We start from the raw sequence: 9,996 nt of genomic DNA, 5'->3' as shown, positions 1-9,996 counted from the left end.
CAGTGTGGCTCCACCAACTCACTTTTCTCCCAGAACCTCAGTTCCCTTCCGTGTATCATGGGAATCATACTCCCTGCCCTGGCAAATCTCCTGTTTTTTACCTGACTTTACACAAGGCTCAGACAAGGGAAAAGATGCCAACGCACTTTGTAAATGACCAGAAAGCCAGAAGCATCCCAAAGTTGGTCCATGCTATTTTCTGACCCAAGCCGGAGGAGGCTGGGGCTGTGTGGGGCTGGGTCGAGGGTGGGGATGACTGGAGACCATTAAGAAGCAGGAATGCTCTGGCTCCTTTTATTGCTTCAAATATTAGTCACCAGGAAGCTGCCCCGCGAAGCCTATGAGGCCTCGTATCATTTACTTGTCTTGAATTAATTAAGAAGACTCGTATGGGGACAATTAGGGGACCCTCAGGCTGATGATATCTCATCTTGTTGGGATGGAATTTGCTTCTGCATCCCATTTGCCTCCCTGCATGCCCCCAGATATCAGCAGGTTCATTTTTTCCCAAAGTATCTCAGGTATATGTTAGGGCTGGATTTGTGGTTCTACAGGCACGTGGACAGACAGACAGCCCCGTGAGAGATGAGCTGAGGGTCTATCTAGTTGACAGGTGTCTGTTTGCTTTACTCCATGTCTTGCTTTCCTACTTTCCTTTCCTTTGAACCCAACTACCCCTGCCCTTCCCCACCCTTTGCCAATGTTTCTGTCTGTCTTTTGTTTTTAAATTCCATTGGCACCAAGAATTCTAATTTCCCAAACATTTTAAGCAAACGTTCGAGGGTGGCACCACACTAAAGCCAACAAGCTAAGGGGTTTCATCCCAACTTTCTAAAGGTGCTGTCCAAGTGTCCGCAAGGCCATGACAGGCTCCCAGAAACTCCAGATCCACCCGCTAATCAGGAAGGGACACATCATCCGCCACAGACCCATCTGTTCACTATAATCACGCACAAGTATGCATAAGCCCAGCTGAGCAATTATGAATAATTAAATCAATTAGAGACAGTCTAGCACCGGGGATTATGGACGTTCGGGTGTGGGCCTCTGTAATATTTTAACAGTAAATGCAAGAGCCCCAGAGAGGCCTGGCGGGGAGAAGGGAACAAAAGCGTGTCCAAATGCCAAGCCATGTTGCTCGGTGACCCTCCTCCGCAGCACCGGCGGCCTTCCCAAGGAAAACAATGACCATGAAATGCCAAGAAAATATTTTGGGGACAAGTATGAAAGCTTCAAAATGAGTTAATTAAAAACGGATAAAACACGAGCCTTCGAAAGTATGTTGAGGAAATTTAGTGCTTGAAATTTGACAGAAGAAAAAGGTTTTCCAGCATGAAGCAGAACTTAAAAGTGGCAGAGCTGGACCACTGGGTTGTTTTCTTCTAAAACCAACCTCCTCCAGCTTCTTCACACCACAACGGCAGCTCAGGGAGGCCTTGGAAAGCACCTAAGCCTTCCGAGGTTGCAGAGATCAGCCAGGGCACCTGTAGGGCTGTTTCAGGAGCAGGCGACTGAGAAACCTGTTTCAGATCATGGGCGTGTGCGAGGTGAGTGGTTCTGAAATGAGCAATTGCATATGTAAGGCATTTGCAGAACGAAATCTTGACTCCATTTACACTTGCTTAGCATTCAATGAATATGGAAGAAGTGACGAGCTGAGAGAATTAACATTGTGTGACTTGGTTCCCTAGAAAGGGACTCAGTGACCCAGATGCAGGAAGGGGTTCCGGAAGAGAGAAGCATCTTGTGTGTCTTCTTATGGAGACAGGATTCATCTCACAGCCCAGCCAATTTGGGAGCAGCTGTTGAAGATGCCAGCTTCCCAGATTCCATCATCCCCATGGCCTGGGAAGGGTTGAGATCTCACTGCTTTATTGCAGACTGTCAGAGGATACCAGGAATATGATGGGTTTGATGAAACCAACAGGAACATAATCAATTTTCTGTTTCTTCCATGTCTGAACCAAAGGCATAAATATGGCTTGCTTTGGCCCAGCAAAGAGATTTGAATCGAACCCTTCTGGCAACAAAGGACCAGTGTGCCTTTTAAGTGACATTTTGTCCAGATTCATTAACCAGGGCCGGAAGATTATGCAAGAAAAGAACAGAAATTCCCACTATTCTCTCCGACAGGCCAAATCCAGTCCTGTCCTTATGAGTGCGAGAAAAAGCCTGGCCTCCCAGGCTGCACTCTACTCTTCCAAGGTTCCATTTGACACTTTGCATTTGTTTATCTCTGGGCTGTGTTTGAGACATTAGATATCAACATCCTGTGTTGTGGAGGAGGCTACTGATGCTCAGAGAGGTCAAGGAACTCGCTCAAGGCCTCAGAGTAACAAGCGGCTGCTGAGATTCAATCCTGCAAACACCTGCACTGCTGCCTTGCGCTGCTTCTCAGTGCCCGCATGGTGCACGTCGTGCTAACATTTCGAGGTATCAAGATGTCCCAGTGAGTTCTGCCCCAAATGGAGAAGCTCAGGATCCTCATCTGTGATTTTATAGGGTTGCCGCATGGATTAACAATCATGCCCCAATGCAAACCTGATTTCCCCCAAGTCTCAATGATCTAGAGACATGATTTCCCCAAGTCTTGATCCTAAGGGGTGAGGGACTCGCACCCTTACCAACCCTAGCATGTCACTAGCTCCTCACCCCTGCCCAGTTCAAGACATCCCCTGAGATTCCCAACCCCACCCTCGGCCTCCAAAGGGAGACTCCAGCGCTGTCAAGAGCCTGCAGGAGAGATCTCAGGTTAAGTTCTTTCCTTCCAGGTGCTGCTGAAATTCACTTCCCTACGTTTGCTTGGCATCTCTGTGTCCATGGTGGCTCCAGCTCATTCACCAAGTTCTCAGCGTGCCAAGGCAGACTATGCCCCATTGTAAGAGCTGGGGAATAGCGTCCTTGCCCCTCCTTCGGTTACACTGTTATACGGTCCCTGCCTGCGCTGCTCAGGTCCCAGGGGGACCTGAGAGCACAGGGGGAAGTGCTGCCATTTTTCTTTCTAGAGGCTGTCTTCCTTCTAGAGCCACATGTGGGTCTGTCCAGGGGATGGATTTGACTGAGTTGTTACCTGAACCCTGGGTTACTGTCCTCTAATGACTGGGCTTCGTCACTAGGTGGTTCTCTCCAATGGCCATACATGCAGAAGCAAATAGTGCATCCCAGCCCCTGTTTGCTAAGATTGTGTTCCTCCTCAGCAGACCCTCAGCTGCCCAGATTCAACCTGGGTATATTCCTCTGCAAGCAGCCAGGTGTGCCCAGAAATCTTTGCCCATGAGCTGTGGACGCCACCTCGGCCCATGCTGAGATCCCCTCTCCATGTGCACCACAGCCCTGGCTCCTGTTAAACATAGCAATAGAAAGAGACCCTGACTCCTATAAAGAATAGAAGGTTGCTGGATGCTAGAGTGAAATCTGGGGTGGGATGAGAAGATTGACATCCATCCAGGCCACCCTCTGATGACAATGAGTAAGGTCAAAACACTGATGGTGGAAGTGGATCCACTGGATCATTTGACTCAGCAGGTTCTCATGAAAGCCCTGGCAGAAGGAGGCACAGACGGCGATTACAGAATGGCTCTCGGAAGTGCAGGCACCTGCAGAGGGTTGGGGCTGCCTGCTCTCTTCCACATTCTCACAGCAACCAGCAGAATGAAAGGGGCCAGGAGGTGACCCCAGGCTGGCCTCTGCCCTCACGGACAAAGCTGCTTCCCCACGGCAGGTGGGAGTCGCTGCCCTTCTGCTGGCAGTGAGTCCCACCTGGAGTCTTGCTAAGCCCTTCCTAACTACCAGCAGCCTAGAGATCAACTAACCCTGAGGACAACGTGGTAAAAATGGGGCTTAGATGAGGGGCATGGCAGTGAATAGGGGAGCGACACAGAAACCCGAATCTTCTCTCTTTGCAGCTTTGTCTAGGACTGACCTTCTACTGACCCCACACCCCCTTATTCATCCCTTGCTGGGGGCCATCACAAGCCACTCTGTCCCCAGCTATGGATAGCTGCACAGATGATAGCACAACCAGGTGGGAATCTGAGCTTGCGGGCCCTCAGGTCACCCTTCTGAGCCTCAGCTTCCTCATCCACGAAATGAGAACAACCCTAAAGCTGGCCTGAGTATCTCACAGGAATGTGGGAGGCAGGAAATTAGATGATGGGTAAAAGTGAAGTGCAAACTGTGAAGTGCATGTCCATCAATGACATCCTGATTTCATAGGAATACTGTGGAATGAGAGAATTTAAGGCAAGTCCATCAAAGACATCCTGATTTCATAGGAATACTGTGGAATGAGAGAATTTAAGGCAAGTCCATCAAAGGCATCCTGATTTCATAGGAATACTGTGGAATGAGAGAATTTAAGGCATGTCCATCAAAGGCATCCTGATTTCATAGGAATACTGTGGAATGAGAGAATTTAAGGCATGTCCATCAAAGGCATCCTGATTTCATAGGAATACTGTGGAATGAGAGAATTTAAGGCATGTCCATCAAAGGCATCCTGATTTCATAGGAATACTGTGGAATGAGAGAATTTAAGGCAACATATCTTTACGTGGCTCCCCTGATATGATAGCAAGGAGTGAGCAAATCCCAAGTCCGAATTTTTCCAAATTCAGTGAGTTTCCCGCAGTGCCCCAAAGAGCCGGAGGAGCCTGGGGCCATCCCTTAAGGGTCACCTCTAGGGGAAGGCAAAAAGGGAGGTCAAGGAGGGCAGAGCTTAGGGCCCACCAACTCAACTCTGCTCTTTTTGGCCTGGTAAATTGTGAGGTTTCAGTGCAAGAGAGTTCTAGTTCTTGATGGAGAAATTTAAAAGCCACAACTCAACAATGCACAGTGCCTCTGGTGGACTTAGTGGGGACACAAATCCCCTAAACAGCCCCAGGCAGAGCTGCTGAACAGGAGTTAGCAGGGGAAGAATCCAAGCTCCTTGAAGAATAATAAGGATGAAACAAATCCCGTTTCCCCAGGGAGTGATGATGCCACATGGGCCTCCTCAGGCTCCCAAGACAGCAACGGCTCCAGGAGCAGAAATGCTCCTTGTGTCTGATTTGCTCAAATCGCTGCACATTCTCAGGTCCCTGGGTGATCTTGATGACATCACTTCCCCTCTGGGCCTCAGTTTCCCCATCTGCACCTCAGTTTCCCCATCTGCACCACCAGGGGTGAACTGGATGGTCTGAAGCATCCTGTGAGCTCTGCCATCCTAACCCTAAATTCGCCAGGGTCCTCTCCTTGCCACCTGCTTTCCACCGTCTCAGCCCTGCCTCTGTCTCCAGGAGCATCCAGCACCCCCACCTCCGGCCAACCCCCACCCCAGATCCAGACTTCCCCTCCTCCCCCGCCAAGTCCTCTACAAGGCCACCGCAGAAAGCAGCAATTTGGACAGAAAGCAGCAATGTTTTAATTTTACTCGATTAAATCACCATGTGGACAGAGGCTTGCGAAGGAATCTGCTCTACAGAACTTTTCATTTAATAGAATTAGTTGAAACCAGATCAGCCAAGCCCCCGTTCCTGCAGGCCATCTGCCCAGACAGGGAAACAGCTTCCCTAAATAGAACCCCATGCTGCTGGGAGCCTCCTCTAAAGGGCCGGCAGGGAGCTGCCCCCTGCACCGGCCTGTCTGTTCGAAATGGGTTCAGAGTCCTTCCCTTTGGGGCCGGCGGGGCGAGCAAAGCTCACATCCACTTTCAGCTTAGAGCTGGGGACTATAATCAGATTCACATTCAGCTCCACCTGCAGAGTCATCATGCCAAGATGGGGGACTGCAGAAAGGAGATGCCAACATAGAGCCTTTTAATTCAGAAAAGAGGTCTGTCAAGTCATCTGGCCAGACTCTTTAAGAAAATTAGATAAACTAACATTTACTCAGCATTTTAGTTTCCCAGGAACTTTCCCGCGTGTTTTGTTTAATCCTTGTGACGATCTTGCAGTACGGCTCTTCTATGTCCTTTTGCAGATGAGGGTCTGAGAGGTTTAGTAACTGCTCAAGTCTACACAGCTAGGAGCGAGGACCCGTCAACTCTAAAAGAGCAGTTATGACAGACACATAAAACATAAGTGTGGGGGATGTGGTGATAGCCAGGAGGAAGGCTGATGACGGGAGACCCGAGAGCTTGCAAGGATTTGAGAAAACCAGACACAATATGCCAAGCACCTTATTCTGGGGCAAATGAAGTGATGTCACCGTAGTGCCTCACATATGGTCACTGCTACCTCCCTGCCCTTCTCCTGAGCATGTGAGACCGGAGCTGCCGGCTCGAATCGTGTCATGTCCCATGCTAGTTCTATGACTTTGGGAAAACCACTTAACCTCTCTGGATCTCAGTTTTCTTATCTGTGGAACAGGAAGAGGCAATGACACCTCCCTCTCCCAGTTCAAATGAGATGAGGTGTGGAAAACAGTCTGACACACCTCTGGGTGTCAGGAGCCCTTGCTGGGAATCCCAGGTGCTGACTTGAATTCTGCAGGCTAGCCCCCTTATCACTCGGAGGGCGAGTTGCCAGTGACGAGGATGTTAAGGATGAGGATGCACCATTTAGAGCAGAGGTTAGCAAACGCCAACCCGAGGGCCAAATCCTGCCTGCTTATTTTTGTAAATAAAGTTTTATTGGCACAGAACCACACCCACTAGTTTACACATTGTCTATGGCTGTTCTCACCCGACAACAGCAGAGTTGGTAGTTATGACAGACACCAGAAGCCAAATGGCCCAAGAAGCCTAAAATATCTAGTGTCTGTCCCTTTACAGAAAACGTTTCACAAATCCTGATCTAGGGAGCATATAGCAGTAGCACCACTGCCCTCACACCCAAAGAGGCTGAAGACAGGCAGGGGGAAGAGAGAGGAAGTTGTCTAGGGAACATTTTATCCCAATTGTTAATGAGCTTGCTTAACCTCTTGGGCTCCTACTCCCTGATCCTAGAGACCAGTTTGGGTCTTGTGTGTTTTGATGTGGCATTCCTGTTTCAGGAGGAATTATGAATGTGCCCTGATTAGTCTGTCTTGGGGAGTTTTAAAGAAGGGAGGTGGGTTGGGGGTAAACTGTTCTGTTATCAACGGCCACTTTATAAGTCTGTGGCTTCCACTGCAGGGAGTGGCTGCTGTATGGAATTGATACACTTGGAGATTTATAAGGTCAAGTTTTATGAGCCTACAGATTCTCGTGGTGTATTACCACATCCTTATTACAAGCTCATGCTGCTGTCCAGTTAAACCAACGGAGCTAATATATTACTCCTTGCCTGCCTGGGCCACAGACTTGAAGGAAACAGTGCAAAAAAAAATATGGCCTTTGGGAATCAATCGTGTCCTGGTTTTTTCCGCCCAAGCGACTTTGGTTGTTTTTCTCCTCTCCCTAACCCGCATACTGAATGAGAGGCTGCTGTTCAGTTGGTGCACACAGAACAAGCCCTTAGGAGTGGCCTGAGACCCCCAGAGTTAACTGGGGGCAGGGGGAGCAGGCCTGGCTGGGACATTTCTCCAATAGGAGGGGAGACCTACAGGGAGCCCTCTGCAGAGCGTGGCCAAGAAGGAACGCCTGGCTGCGCTGCTGTCGTGCTAACAGGACCATAAATTCAGGATGCTTGTTTGTCTTTGGGCCAGGGCTGTTTTAATGGAGAGGGGGAAGTCACCCTGAATCAGGATGTGCTGAGCTGGTCGGGATGTCTGTGGGTGTCTGTCCCCTCTCTCCAGGCCTTTCAAGCCTTGCAGTGGGGAGGGCCCAGCCAGGAATGGGTTCTGAGCCAGCTCAGGGAAGCAGAGGCAAGGGTGCACCATGACCATTCCAGGTGGGGCCGCAGGGACCTCGTGGCCGTGGCAGGGGAGTGGGAGGGGCTTCAGGTCCCACCCCAGTCACCAGAGCTATGGTAGTGGTGATTTCCCAGCCTTCTCTGGTATGGATGACACTGTGATGAACACTGAGATGAGTCTTTGCACAAGTCTGCTTGTCTACCCATCTTTCGAGGAAATGAACTGATCTGCACACACCCACAGACACACCTGGTTCTGGAGCCAAAGCGAATGTTGAAAATGACTGGCTCAGACGACGCCCGAGAGTCTTTAGTCCCCACAGCATAAGGCCCTGTCAGCTCCGGCAATCTCCCCTGGCTGCATCCCACCCCACCCCAGGCTCTGTCATCACCCAAGTCCCCCAGCAAACTCCTGGGTTCTCTTGCTGGCAGGCGCCGGCTGCCTTCCTGTCTACACTGCCCAGACTTGTTTTGTGAGTCCAGGCAGCTCGCCCCTCCCTGGGCTCCATGTCTGCAGCCCTGTAATAAAGGCACGTTTCTAGGGGCAATTCGACTGTCCATACAACGAGTCTCAAACAATTTTGACTTGGGAATTCCACTTCTAGAAACCTATCATATGGAAAGAACCCGATGTTTGAATAAAGATCAGGAACAAAAGCTTCCACCATGGCGTTAATTATATTAGAGAATTGGAAATAACAGAAACGTCCAACCATGGGGGACTAGTTAAATAAACTAAGGGTCATCTAGTCAATGGACCGCTAAGCAGCCATTCAATATTTATCTTCGTAAAGAATTTGTGGTGACAAGAGAAAGGCATGCCACCATGCCAAAGGGGCACCCCCACCCCCGGCCCTGTAGCAGGAACAGCGGCAAGGTTGGTAAGGAGGGAGTCAACCCTCCCCTGGCTGTCTCCATGACGCCCTGGGGCCGGGGGTCACCCTTGCACTCAGGGTTCAGCAGAGCTGCAGGAGTCCTAAGGGAAGAGGGAATTTCTTACAGGAATTAGCCTGCACGCAGATGAGGGCCACCTGGAAGGGGAGGTCTGGAGGAGCACCCTGAGGACCTGAGAGAGACATCACTCAGCGCCTTGCCACACAGGTCCGGCACCAGCAGGGCCAGACAGGCGAAGGTTTGCAGGAAAATCCAAGAAGCGGCATGCGTCTGGAGAAGGGCACCTGAGGGGCTGAGGCCTGGAGAACCTGGCTCCTCTGGGAGCTGCCCCCTTCCAAGCTGCCCGCAACCAAGCTCCTAGTGGCAGGCTTGGGCTGATGTTTGCCAGCAGGGCTGTCACTTGGGAAGATGAGCTAGATGCAGAGAGCAGGACAGTAAGGACACGCGGAAGCCCACCACACACCTCTGAGTCTGCCACCAAGTGTGGCCAACGTGATCATCCGGGATCAATGGCCTCAGCTTCCCTTCCATCTCCCACATCCCGCTCGGAGCTTCCTTCCTGGGCAACTCTACAGGACAATATAGGGGAGGGAGTTCTGGGAAATGCAGTTCCCATCCCGCAGAAGGGAGCCAAATTCACAACACACACTCCTGCACAGCCTTCATTCCACAGCTGAGAAAACTGACACACGGAGATGTTGTGTGACTTACTCAAGGTTACACAGCACATGAGTGCAGCCTCTTGGGGCACTTAGGACTGAACACCCCCTTGGGCTAGCTTTGTTTATTGTTCATCTTTGGCTCTTCCACTCCATGCAGGATGACATAACAAGGTGGGGAAGGCTGGAGAAGTGGGGATGTTGGACTGGGGGCAGGGAGCTAGCAGCTGTGCCACACTGTGCTCAGCACCTTAAGTTCTCGGCAGGCGCTGGGTGCCTACGTCTCCTGTCTTATGAGAGCTCTCAGCAGCCCTCTTGGCAGGGGCTATGATTATCCCCATTTATGGGTGGAGCAACTGAGGTGCTATTCCTTGCCCAAAGTAACAGCGCTAGTAGGGGGCAAAGCTGAGATTCAAACCCAAGCCGACAGGCTCCAGAGCATGCTGGAGCCCTCTCATTTAGTCCCCACAGCAATGGAGTGTGCTAAGATTTACTATCCTGTCTGCCTTGGCCCCCACTGTATCTGTGGCAGTAATAAACTAAGTGTTCAATCTTAAAGACACAAAGTCGGTTGGCCTGGTGGCTCTCCAAGCAGCCCTTTCAAAAGGTGATGTGGAGAGTTAGATAGCCGGTGTGTGTCTGGTCACCTCCAGGCATTCAGGTTACTGGGCCACCTGGTCCAAAAAAGAGCA

The 9,996-nt window shown here is 50.6% G+C and overlaps 1 protein-coding gene across 8 annotated transcripts in view, besides 2 other annotated features; it reads right to left on the bottom strand.

Moving 5' to 3' along the window:
• The window catches only part of LOC124900165 (uncharacterized), a 230,445-nt gene that overhangs the window by 12,157 nt on the left and 208,292 nt on the right, over window positions 1-9,996 (bottom strand). The window lies entirely within an intron of this gene.
• Window positions 1,080-1,495: a silencer, noted in NCBI's record as "fragment chr4:4760651-4761066 (GRCh37/hg19 assembly coordinates)". NCBI's record gives its function as "represses an EF-1alpha promoter that drives an FKBP-Casp9 reporter gene in an ReSE screen in phorbol 12-myristate 13-acetate-treated (for megakaryocytic differentiation) K562 erythroleukemia cells {active_cell/tissue: K562(+PMA)}" and the evidence as "EXISTENCE:reporter gene assay evidence [ECO:0000049][PMID:32094911]".
• Window positions 1,569-1,678: an enhancer, noted in NCBI's record as "active region_21231". NCBI's record gives its function as "activates an Ori minimal core promoter by ATAC-STARR-seq in GM12878 lymphoblastoid cells {active_cell/tissue: GM12878}" and the evidence as "EXISTENCE:reporter gene assay evidence [ECO:0000049][PMID:35858748]".

This window comes from Homo sapiens, chromosome 4 (assembly GCF_000001405.40).
Source record: "Homo sapiens chromosome 4, GRCh38.p14 Primary Assembly".
Lineage (NCBI taxonomy): Eukaryota > Metazoa > Chordata > Mammalia > Primates > Hominidae > Homo > Homo sapiens.
The sequence above is the reverse complement of the archived record's forward strand: the minus strand, read 5'-3'. Positions and strand labels throughout refer to the sequence as shown.